The sequence below is a fragment of the Homo sapiens genome, chromosome 12 (genome assembly GCF_000001405.40).
Source record: "Homo sapiens chromosome 12, GRCh38.p14 Primary Assembly".
NCBI classification, from domain to species: domain Eukaryota; kingdom Metazoa; phylum Chordata; class Mammalia; order Primates; family Hominidae; genus Homo; species Homo sapiens.
This window is the reverse complement of record NC_000012.12, coordinates 89,236,554-89,253,598: the sequence shown is the minus strand read 5'-3', so window position 1 is coordinate 89,253,598 and position 17,045 is coordinate 89,236,554. Positions and strand designations below refer to the sequence as shown.

Sequence of the window (17,045 nt, the reverse complement as noted above, 5' to 3'; positions counted from 1 at the left end):
TTTTTCCTTTACCAAATTTAACTTTACAAGATGTCTTCAGAATCTTTATTTTCCTGCAATTGTTGAGGAGAATTGATCATTTACTAAATTTGGGTGTAAAATAAAAACAAAATTAATATGATTCTGTGATATTTGTGATGTTGGAGTTTTTAAGAAATCTCAGTAAGCAGTAGTTTCATAAACTCATTGACTCTTTAAATTAGAAAAGATCTTAGAAATAATATCTCTCAACTTCCTAATTTTACAAGTAAGAAACTTGAAGTCCAAAGACATTATGGAATTTGCCTAAGTCCGTGTAGTTAGCTATTGGCTGATCTGGGATCTGAAGCGAATTTTCTGGCTTCTTAGTCTAGGATTTACTCCATCAGAAAATGAAGGTCTCCCCCTCCCCCACCTCAAGAATTTTCAAAACTGGCAGTGATGTGTTTATTTTAATTTCACAGCAAATTTCCCCAGTTCCTCTGTCAAGCAGTACAAGGGATATTCTTCCTCAGTTGTATCAGTTTTAAACAAGTGATTGGGACTGATCTTTGGTTTGCTTGTGTTTTGGTGGTTTCCTTTTTATTCTTTTAGGATCTGGAGATTCTGGTGTATTCTCTTGTTCTTACTGGGAAAAACACAGAAAACTCTCTCTGCTTTGCGAAGTGTGGAGGTTCTTCCCAGATGTATAGTCAAGGAACAGAACAATTGTTAATAAAAACATTCATGAGATTAGGACAAACTCTATTAGCTTAGTGAATGAGTACTTAATGATAAAATATTCTAGATTTCCTGCAGAAGTAAAATATATATGAAGCTCAGACAATGAAAAAAGCAACATATTAAAGTCTCTCAAATAGGTTGAAAAAGATTTGCAAAATGGCATCTGGTAAACTCATTCTTGACTGCAAACAGGAATTATTATTATTTGGCCCCAGAGATATTTTCTCACAGTCAAATGTGGCGGGGAGGCGGGTGGTGTTGTCACTTCATCTGATCTGGTGTTTTATAAACCATAAACTCTGCGTCAGAGTGGGGCTCTTTCTTCTTTTGGAGTTCTCCAGGCTAGCTCAGGCTTGTTCAGGGGGCCCTCCCCATAACTTCTGAATTTTTAAAACATTGAGGCTAAGTGCTGTCATTAATCCAACACAGCTCTACTCCAACTCTTTTCTGGGTCAGCACATTCAGATTTTCCCACATGTAGCTTGGCCTCAGCAAGAGTCGATGACTCAAGTTTCTGTTGTATAAATATGAAGGTTTGTACTTACTGCCTCAATTTATGTTGCTAGGGTCTTTATACCTTGTGTTTGATTCATAACTACTACATCAACTCTCAGATTAAACGGTATATTGTTTGCACTTTCCAATCTTAAATGGTCTTTCAATATAAAGTTAGACCATTTAGATAAGTTTCCCTCTTTAATTCTGTGAAGCAGATACTGTTTATGGTCATGCCCACATATTCTTATCACCTTCTTCCTGAGTTTTTGCTGAGCACATGGTTTCCCAGCATGACTCTGTATTTCCCAGTCTTCCTAGTAGCTGTGTGGCCTTGTGACTAAATTTGGGTTTGTGATCTGAAGTATGGTGACTCTTATGGGTTGTGCTCCTAGAAAGGCATATGGCGTGCTCAATGACTCTTTCTTCCCTTTCTCACTGGAGTTGCCTAGAACCCAGAGATGAAAGCCTTATCTTGAGAATGACAATGCTGTCCTGTCAGCCTAGCACCACTTACCTCTGAGCAGTTATGTGAGAAAGAAATGATTTCTGTCTCGTCATTGTATTTTGAATCTTTCTGTTATGTTACTAAACCTTGTCCTAATTAATGTACCTTGCTAGTGTGTTTTAAACCATTCCAAATTCATTCCTGAATCAAGTAGAAGCTGTGGAGATGTTTGTTGAAACTATAAGGAAATTCTTTGATAAAGAATGCAGTTCCCTTCAAGAGTATGTCTAAATGACAGAGCCGTTCTTAGCACAACTACTGAATGAGAAACTTTATAAAACTGTCACATACTTGGCAGAAGTTTGTTCACCCCCATCCAGTTCTGTCTTTGGAGAATTTGTTGCCTGAAAATAAAGCAAGCTGTGATGTGGTTTTGTTAGGTACTGAGGGATAAACCTTCGGTAGTTGTAAGAGTGTCAGCTGACAATGCAATGTGATAACTTAGGCTTCTGAAAACTGTAGTATGTTTGGAAGCACAATTTGGGAGACAACAGGATCAACATTTAGAATATCCGTAGTGTGCCAAATACTGAACGGAGCCATCTCATTTAATCCTCACTACAGCCCTGTAACATTGATGTTTTTATGCATTGTTGGCAGATGATGAAACACACTAGCAGAGAGTTTAAAGACCTGTTCAAGGTAACACAGTAAGAAGAAAAGCTGAAACTTGCACTTGGGTCGTTGTAGTTCCAAGGTTTATGCTTTTTCTAACAGTGGTGGCAATTTTTGGAAGTAAAATAATCCCCTGAACGGGGACAATAAAAACTAAATTTGCTTGATACCCAAGGAACTCAGCAAAATATGCCATCTTTTTGGTCTTCAACCCCACTCTGGTTTTCATGCTCTATTACTGGCATTACATTCCTATACTTTAATTTCATATAGTAGTTCATCTTGATGTGCAGAGATATATGGATAATTTGGGACCTTGAAAAGTCATTCCTCCAATAACATTGCCTTTAGGCAGAACTGTACCAAGATGACCCCTCATTTTAAAAGTGAGTCACAGGCTCTATCAGAAAGTGATTCAATTTTTTTTTCATAAACTTTACTGAATAGAAACTCTTCCTTCTATATGACATAAGTCCTTTGTGCTGTAATTCAGATTCATACCATGGCTGTCTTGCTGAGTGAAGAAGAGCAGAAATGCTATTAGTCTTTGTTTAAGAGTTCTTTCTCTTTTAGAAACTAATTTGTCACATTACTCCTTTTTCCCTCTTTGGAATAATAATCCAAGTTCCTTTAACCTGTCCTCATCTGCTTCATTTTAAATCTTTGTGAGTTGTCTTGGACATACGTCTTCAAGTTTTTCATTTTTAATTTGTGGTACCCCAAACTGGGGCAGTGTCAATAGATAATATTGATTACTTTCTAGGTGCACACCACTGTGCTGAGTGTCATTGTAGTGTGTTGTCTCATTTAATCCTCACCACATTCTGTAAGCAAAGTGCTATTATTAGCTCTGTTTTATAACAGAGGAAACAGACGCTTAGAGAGATTAAGTGCTGTATGTGCTAAAGAATAAGATGAGACAGGTTCCAAACCTATTTCCCAGGAATGAAGGGGTCACCTTATATTGCAGTTCAATCTTTATAAAGTCTCTCAAATTATGGGGCATGTATTCAACTTCTTAAAACCACATAAGGCTGAGATGACCTCAGATGATTCTGTTCTCAAAAGCTTATAGAAGTGACCCGCAGAAACTCTAAAAAAGGAGGCAAGGAAATTTGACAAGGCTGGGTGTGGTGGCTCACGCCTGTAATTCCAACACTTTGGGAGGGTGAGGCAAGCGGATCACTTGAGGTCAGGAGCTCGAGACCAGCCTGGACAACATAGTGAAGTCTCTTCTGTAGGAAAAATACAAAAATTAGCTGGGCATGGTGGTGCATGCCTGTAATCCCAGCTATTTGGGAAGCTGAGACAGGAAAATTACTTGAACCTGGGTGGTGGAAGTTGCAGTGAGCTGAGATTGTGCCACTGCACTCCAGCCTGGGTGACAGAGTGAGACTCTGTCTATAAAAAAAAAAAAAAAGAAAAGAAAAGAAATTTAGAAATTTGACAGATTTATTCATTATTCTTGGGAGTGGAGTGGTGACTCTACAATTGCAAGAATTGGATGTCATCATAAACAGCCTTTAAAAAGAGGATTTTATATATTTAATATATGAAGCAATATATTAGTTATCATATTACACTAAGTGGATACAACAGCACAAACTTCCACCTACAGGACAAATGAACAAAACAATTGTCTTAATGTTATATGAATGGGTGCTCATGGTTCAGAATAAAATTTCTTTTTTATAATACTTTAAAAAAATAATTTCAACTTTTATATTAGATTCAGGAGGTATGTGTACAGGTTTGTTATGGGTATATTGCCTGATGCTGAGGTTTGGGGTATGATCGATCCTATCACCCAGGTAGCGAGCATAGTACCCAATAGGTAGTTTTTCAGTCCTTTACCCCTACCTCCCTCCTCCCTGTAGTAGTCCCCAGGATCTATTGTTCCCATCTTTATGTCCATGATTACCCAATGTTTAGCTCCTACTTATAAGTGAGAACATGTGGTATTTGGTTTTCTGTTCCTGTGTTAGTTTGCTTAGGATAATGGCTTCCCGCTGCATCCATGTTGCTGCAAAGGACATGATTTTGTTCTCTTTTATGGCTGCAGAGTATTCCATGGTGTGTATGTACCACATTTTCTTTCTCCAAGAGGATAAAATTTCTGATGACAGCATTAAACAACCCATGTGAAAATGAAGATGATTTGTGAAGACTGTCAGGTGACACTAATGTCAATGGCGTGTATTAAGAATTAGAAAAAAAAAGAATTAGAAGAAAACTTTTATGAAATGTGAGGGTGACAAAAATTTCTAAATTGATATTTTACATGATTTTAAATATCTATGACTAAATTAATAAATTATTAGACTTTTGATTATTTTATCTCTATTTCTAAAAGTTTATATAGTTCCAGTTGGTGAAAAAACAGTTTTTAATCTTCTCCTTGGGAAAATAGAAGAATTCCTTATATTCCAAAGCATACAATAATTTATCCAAGTTCACATATCTGAAAGTGGGATGCTTGAGATTTGAACCCAAGTCTGTCTGCTTTATGGGCTAGTAGTGATTATTGGTATAATGGATTTCCAAAATCCCGGTTCTGGGGACTGTGATTTAAAAAAATCGTGTCTGTGTTTGTGCTGCCGCATTCTTTTTCTAAGTGTGTTTTGCAGAGTTGGTAGAGTGAATGCATGCAAGGATCTAAGAAACGAAGTGCCCTGTCGGCATATAGGTGCAGTCAGAACGAGGGTTCCAGTGTGTATTCAATGATGACTGTCAAGATTATTATTCCTTTCTTTTGTCCTTCTGTTCAGTAGCTCATTTTTACGTTTAAAGGGGAAATACTTTTTCCAGAATATTTTTTTTTCACAGCTTCATTCTATAGAGGGGAAGATGAATCTTCAGCAGGTAAATGCACTTCCAGGAATATATCTGGCCCATTATAATGTAGACATTACATAAAGAGTCTTAGGTAGGTCATAATACCTCTCTAGCCCCGTCTCCTCATTTGGAGAACAGGGACATTGATCTTTTATAATTATTTGTCCTCTCTCCAGTCACCCCTCCCTCTCCCCCTAAAATGGGAAGCTATTTGGAATAATGCTTATGCAATAATCCTCTTGCCTTAGGATGAGTAATTATGCATAATGGAAAACACATGAAAGTATCTTGTAAGACTATTAGCTTCCTCCTCTCCCATCCACATACCCCTACTATCTACTCCCATATATTTTGCTAAAAGCACCTGATATAAATCATGTGATACTACTTCTTGGTTTAATGCGCCAAATATTGTATTCCATTTATTGCCAAAGGCTACTGAAGCCTGCCTTTACTCTTTTATATAGGACACTGACTTTTTCTCCTCCCCCGGTTGAACACTGCACGAAAGAATCCAATTTATTAGGCTAGTGGCTGTTACTTGGATGTGCAGACATATGGTCCACAAACTGCTTCATTCTGTTTTAAATAAGTTCCTCCTGATGGGCTCCATTCTCCCTGCCATTTATGCCACAGGTGAAGTAATGAAGATGCTTATTGTGGCTTCCTGTTAATATTCCAAGGCCGGAGGCTCTGAACAGCAGGATGTCTGTTCTCCAGCTGTTTTTCCAACAGGAAGAAGGGATAAAATAAACAAAGCACACACAGTAGTTCATTTGAAACCACAGGTAGTCCACAGCTGCAGTAAAAACAATTCAGGGTTGCCAAACTGGTCTACCATCATAGATCACATCAGCAAAAGCAACTTCAAAATACTTTCAGGGTATTTGAGTTTCTTTCACATTCTTCATATCCAGAGGGAGCTGACGTGTAAATCCAGGTTTGGATCAATGAGAGCTAATTCTCCTGCTTTTTAAATGATTTTTAAGTGGAGTTCTATGCAGCAGAAATGAGGAAATCTTGGTATAAACATGCAAAAATTACTACCATATACTAGTTTGATCTTAAATTTGAATATAAAATGTAAAATGTATCTGAACTGACAAGTTTCAAAATAAGAATCTCGTGTAACACTCTTGCTAATATCTTTTACGTGATATAGAAAACGTGAATAAATATGTAAGCGTCATGTGAAATCTTTATTGAAGGAGAACCCAGAACCCGGTTCCTGGGCCAATTCAATACAGATATAGATATATAAGTTTGGAGTCCTAACCTATTTTTTAAATATAAGCTTGATGGCTTAAAACTTAAGACAATAGATACTATATAAGGCCAAAATGCATTGTTGATTTATTGCCAACATGAGACTGCAATTCTCGATGTCCATGACAATGTGTCCCCAAAGAAAGATCAACTTACCTCTTAGTCATCTATAAGTTCTAAATCTTGAACTTTTGAAATTCTGACAATGAATTCCCAAAGACTCTTTTTTTTTTCTTTTGAACAAGGTGTGCATTTATTCATCTCAATGAAGCAATACTCAGTGCAAGGCCAAGTATGATTCAGAACAAAATTGAAATTGGATTAAACAAACCATGCAAATTCACAAGCTTGAATGGCTATAGACACTGTCAATGAACACTGGTAGTATTGAAATGGACTTACCAAGCCAGTCAGCCATGCTTACCTGTGTGATAGTGGCCACGGAAACACATATGCACTATGTTTTATTATGTTTAGTTATTTGCTACGTTTAGAGCTTATTTGCAAACTTCTGGTATTATTTTTCTTATTTTCTTTTCCTATAGTCACCATTACCTAGGTAAAAATTGACGTTTGTGGATAGTATTGTCTGAGAAGTTTGATGGATATCATAGTTTCACTCAAAGGTAAATGGATGCTTAAAAACTGCATTTGCACATCCTGGGATTCAGTTCTGTGAATATTTTGAGACTTGTTTTTTTTGCCGGCTGTAACCAAGACTTACTATACCAATCTTAATTTATTAAAAAAAAAACCCCAATAACAACAAATACCTTAGGTTAAGAAACAGGTAACTGGATTAAGGCTGAGCACATAATCCCTGCTAACCTTGTGGTATGGTAGAAAAAGCACTGAGCTTGAAGTTGGCAGACACAGGGATACATATGGTCTTAGCCTTCATGTATCATTCAACAAATATTGACCAAGAACCTGTAAAAGGTTATTGATCACAGATTCTGTACCCAATAGTCTATGAGACACAAATAAAAGATACAATTGCTGCCTTCAGAGTGCACATGAACTTACTAAGAACACAGACAGGAAAACCAAGGATCATACCACAATGTAATGAACGTAAGAGAGAGCTGCTTAGCTTACCTTGCCTCTCCTATTTTATTACAATTTCTTTTTGGGGGGAATCACCTCTCCTCCTTTGTGTGAATTTAAGTGGGATGATAATTTCTAGTGACCAATGCTCACTAGACAAACTGAAAAGAGTGATCTTCCTCTCCCACCCTAGCACAGTCACAGGCTAGTTCAGACTAGTCATGAGACCCAAGGTTGGCCGATGAGACCCTCTTTTAGGATGTTGATACTAGGATGGAGAGAGTATATTCAGGGCATTCTGAACTGAAGTGAGGTAGAAACATCCAGTCCTGATGCTTTCAAATATAAGACAATTATACCCTCTGGTTCTTGGTTTTAACTCCCCTAAATCTTGGGCATTTGCAAGCTTGTTCCTCTATCTGCTATTGAGCCGCTGATACATTATACTTCCAACAAGTTCTCTTTTGGATTATTGGTTCTGGTTCTTGGCTTTAACTCCCCTAAATCTTGGGCATTTGCAAGCTTGTTCCTCTATCTGCTATTGAGCTGCTGATACATTATACTTCCAACAAGTTCTCTTTTGGATTATTTTGATTCAGTTCCTAATGCTTTCAGCCAGGGATCATGAAAGAGTATCATAATCTAGAGTTGGGGTGAAGGGAATAGTAGCTGTGGCAAGAGGGCAGCTTGGAGGAGGTAATGCCTGAGCAGTATCTTTAGGGACAAGAAGGGATTTACAAAGTAAGGAAGTGGGGGAAGGGAATTAGAGGTAGAGGAAATACCACATGCAAAGGTTTGGAGGTTAGAGCAGCTAGGGGTCGGTGTCACTCAGAGGAAATGCAAGTAGCTTTGGCGGTTGCTTTGTAGTTGTATATGTGTGCACATGTATGAGTGAGACAGAATTCGGAGAGCTGATGCCTGATAGGCCTCTAAAGAATATGTGGTAATCAGCTCTTTCCTCTATTAGCATAAACTATGCCTTAGTAATTGGGATGGTATCTAACCTGGCGTGGCTTCGAAAAGAGGCTTAGTAAATGTGTAGTGAAAAGATGTGACTGTTGAATTCAGTTCCTCTGAAATACTTTCTCCAAGATTTTTGGAGTTGGAAGGACTTTGTCAGGTCACCTGTGTCCTGGGTGCCAAAAATCTATGTCTTTTCTGGAGACTGTCCCTCAAAACTGTTAATTCTATTCCCTAGTTTAGGCAATATTGCACAGGGAACATTCCAGGCAGTTGGAAACTTTTCCTGTTTACATACCTCTGGAGAAGGAGGGACCAAGCATCATTCCTGTTGGACCCTTCAGTTTGTAGCAATGTTTTCTGCCAAGTAAGTTCCTCTTTATCTAACCGAAGTCATCTATGCTGCAACTTGCCTCATTTCCTGTTGCTCTCCCCTTAGAGGGTATGAACAGCATGGGCTTGTCACCCTCCTTGGTAATAACAACCTTTCATATGCTTGACGTTGATTACTAAATTGCCTTTAGCTTTCTCTTCCAGTTTTCTTAGTCTGTTTTTCAGCCTTTAATCATCTCTGTGGGTCTCTTCTCAACCACGTCCAAGTGCACAAAGTGCCTCTTAAAGCAATTTTCAGTTTCAAAACAAAACACCAAACTTCTAGGCTTGTTCCAACTGGCAAAATGAAATGACTTTCTAAGAAAAAAATATGAAAAAAAAAGATATTTCAGGGGTTCCTGGAATGTGAAATTATACTCTAACCAATTAAAGCAGGAATAAATCTTTTGATATTGGTCTTTTCAAGCTGATTTAGTTTTAAGTGAGGTTCTTGTCAAAAGAGTCCCTAAAAGAATTAGGAAAGATCAACATAATAAATGTTTATAGAGCACCCACTATGTGCCAGGCATTTGGCATGGTACTAAGAACTCATAGGTAAACACGACTTGATTCCTACTATCAAAGAGCTCATGGTCTAGGAGTTAAGGCAGAAATAAACAAAAGCCATTCAGTGTGATAGATACAATGGCAAATAAGAGAAAGAGGAAAAGTGGGGGCAGAAAGGAAGAAGGTGGCAAGTCTAGCTGGTGAGGTCAGGCTTGAGCAGATTCTTGAAAGAGGACTAAGAGGTTTTCAGTTTTGGAAGGTAGGTGAGGAAGGATGTTCCTTTTCTGGGCAGAGAGAGCAGCATGATAAGAGGTATGAAGACACGAAACAGCATGATGTATTTGGTGATTAGCTTAGGATGCCATAAGCATGTGGCAAGAGATGAGGATGAGATCACAGAGGGCTTCATGGACTACTCAGAGGAGTTTGGATTTTATGTGGCAATGGGAGCCATTAAGTGTTTGTGAGCAATGTAGTAATTTAGGAGAACTAGCTGCCTAGAAGAATCACTGGGCTAAGCAGAGCATATCAGAAGGAAATGGGGCTGAAGTATGGTTGTCCTGGAGACTGACACAAGAGCTAAGAGGTGGTGTGATTGACAGATGAGAAATGATGTAGACTGGGTGACCTGTGGCTCGGAGGAGATGCTCAATGAAGAAATTAAGAAGGAAATTGAAAAATGTCTTGAAATAAATGATAATAAGAACCCAACATACCAAAATCTATGGGATATAGCAAAAGCAATACTAAGGGGGAAGTTTATAGCTGTAAGTGCCTACATTGAAAAATAAGAAAAAATTCAAATAAACAACCCAATGATGCATCTTAAAGAACTAGAAAAGCAAGAGCAAACTGAATTCAAAATTAGTAGAAGAAAATAAATAATAAAGATCAGAGCAGAAATAAAGGAATTTGAAATGAAGAAAACAGTATAAAAGATCAATGAAACAAAAAGTTGTTTTTTGAAAAGTTAAACAAAATAGGCAAACATTTAGCCAGACTACCTAAGAAAAAAAGAGAAAGATCCAAATAAATAAAATCAGAGATGACAAAGGATACATTACAAACAATACCACAGGAATTCAAAGGATCATTAGTGGCTACTATGAGCAAGTGTTTGTCAATAAATTGGAAAATCTAGAAGAAAAGAACAAGTTCTTAGACACATACAACCTACCAAGATTGAATCGTGCAGAAATCTAAAACCTGAACAGACCAATAATGAGTAACAAGATCAAAGGTGTAATAAAAAGGCTTCCAGCAAAGAAAAGCTTGGGATCTGATGGCATCACTGCTGAATTCTACTGAACATTTAAAGATCTAATACCAATTCTACTCAAACTATTACAAAAAATAGAGGAGGAGGGAACACTTTCAAACTCATTCTCAATATTACCCTGATACCAAAACCAGACAAAGACAATCAAAAAAATAAGAAAACTATAGGCCAATATCCCTAACGAATATTTATGCAAAAATCCTCAACAAAATACTAGCAAGTTGAATTCAAAAACTCATTAAAAAGATCATTCAGGCCAGGCACAGTGGCTCACGCCTATAATCCCGGCACTTTGGGATGCCAAGGCGGGTGGATCACCTGAGGTCAGGAGTTTGAGACCAGCCTGTTCAAAATGGTAAACCCCATCTCTACAAAAAATTAGCTGGGTGTCGTGGAGCATGCCTGTAATCCCAGCTACTCAGGAGGCTGAGGCAGGAGAATTGTTTGAACCCGGGAGATGGAGGTTGCAGTGAACTGAGAATCGTGCCACTGCACTCCAGCCTGTACAATGGAGACTCCAAGAAATATATATATTTCATCATGACCAAATGGGATTTATCCTAGTAATGCAAACATGGTTCAATATACACAAATCAATCAATGTCATACAGCATATCAACAGAATAAAGGACAAAAACCATATGATCATTTCAATTGATGCTGAAAAAGCATTTGATAAAATTCAACATCCCTTTATGATTAAAAAAAAAAACCCTGAAAAAACTGGTATGGAAAAAACATACCTCAACATAATAAAAGCCATATACAACAGACCTGCAGCTAGTATCTACTGAATAGAGAAAAAACTGAAAGCCTTTCCTCTAAGATCTGAAACATGACAAGGCTTCCCACTGTCCACACTGTTATTCAACCTAGTACTGGAAGTCCTAGCTAGAGCAATCAGACAAGAGAAAGAAATAAAAGACATACAGATTGTAAAGAAAGAAGTCAAATTATCCTTGATTGCGGATGATATGATCTTACATTTGGAAAAACCTAAAGACTCCACTGAAAAACTATTAGAACTGATAAGCAAATTCAGTAAAGTTTCGGCATACAAAATTAACATACAAAAATCAGTAGCATTTCTATATGCCAACAATGAACAATCTGAAAAAGAAATCAAGAAAGTAATCCCATTTACAATAGCTACAAATAAAATTAAATACCTAGGAATTAACTTAACCAAAGAAGTGAAAGACTTTCCAGTTAAAACCATAAAATATGGATGCAAGAAATTGAAGCAGACACAGAAAAATGAAAGGATATTTATGTTAATGGATTGGAAAAATAAATATTGTTAAAATGTCCATACTACCCCAAGCAATCTACAGATTCAATGTAATCTCTTTCAAAATACCAATGAAGTTCTTGACAGAAATAGAAAAAAACAATCTTAAAATTTATGTGGAACCACAAAAGACCCAGAGTATCCAAAGCTATCTTAAGTAAAAAGAACAAAACTAGAGGAGGAATCACATTACCTGACTTTAAATTATGCTACAGAGCTATAGTAACCAAACAGTATGGTACCAACATAAAAAGAAATAGACACATAGACAACTGGAACAGGATAGAGAACCTAGAAATAAATCCACACATCTATAGTAAACTCATTTTCTGCAAAGATGCCAAGAACATACATTGGGGGATGGGATAGTCTCTTCAATAAATAGTGCTGGGAAAACTGTATGTACATATGCAGAAGAATGAAACTTGATCCTTTCTTGCCTTATACAAAAGTCAAATAGAAATGGATTAAAGACTTACAAAATCTATGATCTCAAACAATCTACTAAAAGAAACTACTGAAAGAAAACATTGGAGAAATTCTCCAGGACATTGGACTGGGCAAAGACTTCTTGAGTAATACCCCACAGGCACAGGCAACCAAAGCAAAAATGGACAAATGAGGTCACATCAAGTTAAAAAGTTTCTCCACAGCAAAGGAAACAATCAACAAAGTGAAGAGACAACCCACAGAATGGGAGAAAATATTTGCCAACTACCCATATGGCAAGGGATTAATAATCAGAATATATAAGGAGCTCAAACAACTTTATAGGAAAAAGTCTAGTAATCCAATTAAAAATGGGAAAAAGATCTGAACAGACATTTCTCGAAAGAAGACATATAAGTGGCAAACAGGTATATTAAAAGGTGCTCAATATCATTGATAATTGGAGAAATGCAAATCAAAACTACAATGAGATATCATCTCACTACAGTTAAAATTGCTTTTATTCAAAAGACAGGCAATAGCAAATGGTGGTGAGGGTGTGGAGAAAAGGGAACCCTCACACACTGTTGGCGGGAATGTAAATTAGTACAATCACTATGGAGAACAGTTTGGAAGTCCCTCAGAAAAGTAAAAATAGAACTACCATACGATCCAGCAATCCCATTTCTAAATATATACCTAAAAGAAAGGAAATTAGCATATTGAAGAGATATCTGCACTCCCATGTTTATTGTAGCCCTATTCATAATAGCCAAGATTTGGAAGCAACCTAAGTGTCTATCAACAGAATAATGGATGAAGAAAACGTGGTACGTATATGCAAGAGGGTACTATTCAGCCATAGAAAAATGAGACCTTGTCATTTGCAACAATATGGATAGAACTGGAGGTCATTATGTTAAGTGAAATAAGCCAGGCACAGAAAGACAAACATTGCATGTTCTCACTTACCTGTGGGAGCTAAAAATTAAAACAATTGAACTCATAGTGATAGAATATAGATGGATGGTTGTAAGAGGCTGGGAAGGGTAGTCAGGAGTTGGAGGGTGGAGGTGCAGGGGAGACCATTAATCAGTACAAAAAAATAGAAAGAATAAATAAGATGTGGTTTTTGCTAGCACAGTAGGGTGACTATATTAAAAAATAATTTAACTGTTCACTTAAAAATAGCTAAGAGTATAATTAAATTATATATTATAATTATATGATTGAATTATATATATTTGCTCTGATATGATTATTATGCATTGCATGCCTGTATCAAAATATCTCCTGTACCTCATAAATATATATACTTACTATGTAACCACAACAATAAAAAATTTAAAAATATTAAAAAGGTAGAGGATACAAAATAAACCTTAGAAAGTATGTGTTTCAGATGCAGTCAGACCAGGGACTTTAATTTTCAGTCAGTAGAGTAAAAACAATGGGTGACAGTTGAGCAGGTGTAGAGCTGCTGGCTTTTTTGGCAGGTTGTGGTTGCTGTAAACAAAAGAAGTTCATTCTTTTACCCCTCACTCCTCTCTCTAGGGCCTGGCAGTCATAGCAATGAAGGTGAGAGTGGGTGTGAGTAAGGGTGGAGGAGGCGGCAGGGTGGCTGAAGGAGTCTGGAGTGTGTGATGGGGGGTGGGGGGGCCAAGGAAAGACAAGGCTGATGAAGGGATGTTAAGGAGTGAAGGCAAACTGCTGAGAAGAGGTGGACCCTTGTAGATGACAGTGACGTAGAGGTATAGAGACCTCAAGGGCACTGTTAGAGTCTTCAGGTTCAGGGGATGAGGGAAAATGAGGTCAAGCCCATAAACTTTCTGCCAGGGATAGCAAAGATAAGTTCTGAAAATTCATGTGAAGGTTTTTATCATCAGTTGGGTTTTAGATGCTTAGTATCCTTCCTTGATTATTTTTCTTAGAAACTTAGCATTATTCTTTAAAGGGACAAAATGAGCCATATTCAAGAGAATTGGTCAAGATGAATTCTTAGGATTGTGTTAGGAAAGCTGGCTTAATCCCTGTGATTATTCTCTTTGATCTCTAGTCTAATAATAGTAATAACACCAACAGTGATAGCTAGGTGCCTGCTGCTTTACATATATTAGCATTAATTCTTATAACAATGCTATAAGGTGGGTATTATTTTAGAGATAAGAAATCTGAAGCCCCGGAGATTGAAACTATATCCACAACTGCATTGCCTGTCGGTGGTGGAGCCAGCATTCAGAGCCAGGTCTGTTTGACTTTAAGGTTTTCATCTCTTCACTTGTTGTTTTCCCCCAGCTACCATGGTAGGGAGTGAACAGGCTGGATCTATATAGGCACAGTTTAAAACTGTGTCAGAGTTAGCAAAATAATGTCTGTGGACTGCTTGGGGATTTTGGCCAACAGCCTAACAGTGTTTTTCTGTCTCTGGCTTGGCTGGCAAGTGGTTTAGGATTCTGACTGAAGGAAAGGAAGGTGACATTCGGTGCCTGCATCATACTGCTGGCTGGCCTTGACTTCAGAGGCCAGTGTTCCTGTGATTGTTCTCTTGGGTTTTAATTTATGCCCCTGCCAAAGCGCAGGCCCAGTGTCCAAGCCAGATAGAAAGATGCATGTTGGGTAATTGGAAGGGATCAGGCAGCTGTAGAGAAGGCTGCAATCCATGTAGAAGTGGACAGGGCTCTCTTTCTTTGGGTACTCTCACTGGGTGGACACTTGGTGCCCACTTCCTGTCAATGATATGATGTCCCCAATATAAGACTCTGGAGAGCTTAGGTGTTGCTAATTGGCATAACGTTAAAGAATTGGATTATATGGGATTTTTTTCTTGGCTTAAAGGATAATATTGGATTATAAAGTCATTCAAAAGATAGTTTTTGAGCACTCACTATATTCTAATCATTGTTCTAAGAGCTTGGGATATATCATTGATTAAAATAATAAAAAAATGATTGCTCTTGTCAAGTTAGTATTCTAACAGATAAATAAATGCTATTCTTCCAGGGATACGTCCTTAAAATCAATTTAGCTCATTTTCTGTGCGTTAAATAAGTGAAAAGTACTAGGCTTTAGAGATGACAGGAAGTTAGACAGCTCACAGTCCCATACTTAGAATAAAACAAAGACACACATGAGACTAGTATGAATACAAATATGACAAATTTTATAATAAAATATCAAGAAAGCAAAGGAGATTCAAAAGCAGAAGAAATCATATTTGATTATCAGAATTAGATCTCACAAAGGGAGTAGCATTTGAGTTGTTTCTAAAAGGATGGTAGAATTTTGACTGGTGGAGATTAATGGGAAAGTTGTATCAGTTGTAAAGATCATCAGAGTAAACACATGGGTGTGTTTGGGGAAGACTGAAAACGCCAGTTTGGGAGATGAAGGCTAGAAAAATAGCTTGGGTGATGTTGTAGAAGGCAGATAAATAACTGGGTCCTATTTTGTAGAAACAAGGAAGTCATTTGAGGTTTATGAATATGGAAAGGACATGATTAGAACACTTTTTTTTAGGGGAATAGTAATTGATCCATTGAACTATTATATACTAAATGCTTTAACTTTACATCGTCTTATATACTCCTGAAATGATCCACCATTTAATGGAGCAAATTGAAGCTTAGAGGGTTTGGGAAAATTGCTCAAGACCACACACCTAGAAAGAAATAAAACTAGAGTTTGAATATAAATCTATCAGATTATGGAATGTTATTTTCCCAGTAATAGTGTTTGCAATAGTCCAGGTGAGACGACATAAGAGCTTGAACTAGAGTGGAGGTAGTGAAAATAAAACAAAAAGTTGAATATTAAGGAGGATAAATGGGAGTGAAATATTAGAAATGAGTCTTAGATAACTTTGCTGTAGAATTTAAGAATGGACGAGAGGGAGGGATAAAAGAGAGGAAAGAGTCAATGATGATTGAGATTTCTGGCCAGTAGAACAGTGGCACCATTAATAGAAGCTGGAAAGTCAAGTGGAAGAACTGGTTTTGTGGAGGAAGAGGATGACTTTGGTTTTGAACATGTTTGTTTTGTGGTATTGGAGAAACATCCAGATATCCGGCTAGAAGATTACAATACAGGTCTGAGCTCATGGCCAAAGAATTGAGAGCAATCTATGTAGAAGTGATTGCTCAATTGGATAATATCATTGGGAGAAAAGCGTAACTGGATAAAAGTAAAGGGCCAAACCAAGATGAGGAACTGAGTTTCAGAGTAAGAAGAGTCAAGAAAGGATTCAATTCTTATTTTTGAAAATCTGACCACAGTAAGGGAAGTAAGGAAAGAGAAAAAATGAGTGTTTGATTAGCATCTGATATCCAAGAGTCTTTACAATGTGGATTCTTAAATGCTGCACAGAGACTGCCATGTTTCTTTATATGTTTGTTTGGGTGACTTTTCTGTCACTTGCATAAGTGACCTGGAATAGTTTCTTGACATCACATCACGGTAGTGTTGTTGTGTGTTGGTGCCTCAATCACTCCTGTCTGTGAGGTCTGGGTTTTTCCTGGATGTGCACTAATAATTCAAACATAGACATTCGTGTTTGGAAATGTTTGAGCAATATCCCCGAATACCCTGCTCTTAGTGGTTGCTTGACTACAGGGGAATGTCCATATGTGTGTTCCCATCTTTTCCCTTTATTCTTGGTAGGAGAACATAAGGATGACTGAAATCCTGAGTGGGAAGGCACATTGGAGTAAACCACAGTCAGGGCTTTGTACCCTGGAAGCTTG

The 17,045-nt window shown here is 37.5% G+C and overlaps 2 annotated features.

Moving 5' to 3' along the window:
• Window positions 3,081-3,281: a silencer, noted in NCBI's record as "peak1874 fragment used in MPRA reporter construct". NCBI's record gives its function as "represses an SCP1 promoter by STARR-seq MPRAs in K562 erythroleukemia cells {active_cell/tissue: K562}" and the evidence as "EXISTENCE:reporter gene assay evidence [ECO:0000049][PMID:32103011]".
• Window positions 5,570-6,171: an enhancer, noted in NCBI's record as "OCT4-NANOG hESC enhancer chr12:89641205-89641806 (GRCh37/hg19 assembly coordinates)". NCBI's record gives its function as "activates a minimal SCP1, AML or CMV promoter by ChIP-STARR-seq in primed H9 embryonic stem cells {active_cell/tissue: H9 hESC(primed)}" and the evidence as "EXISTENCE:reporter gene assay evidence [ECO:0000049][PMID:30033119]".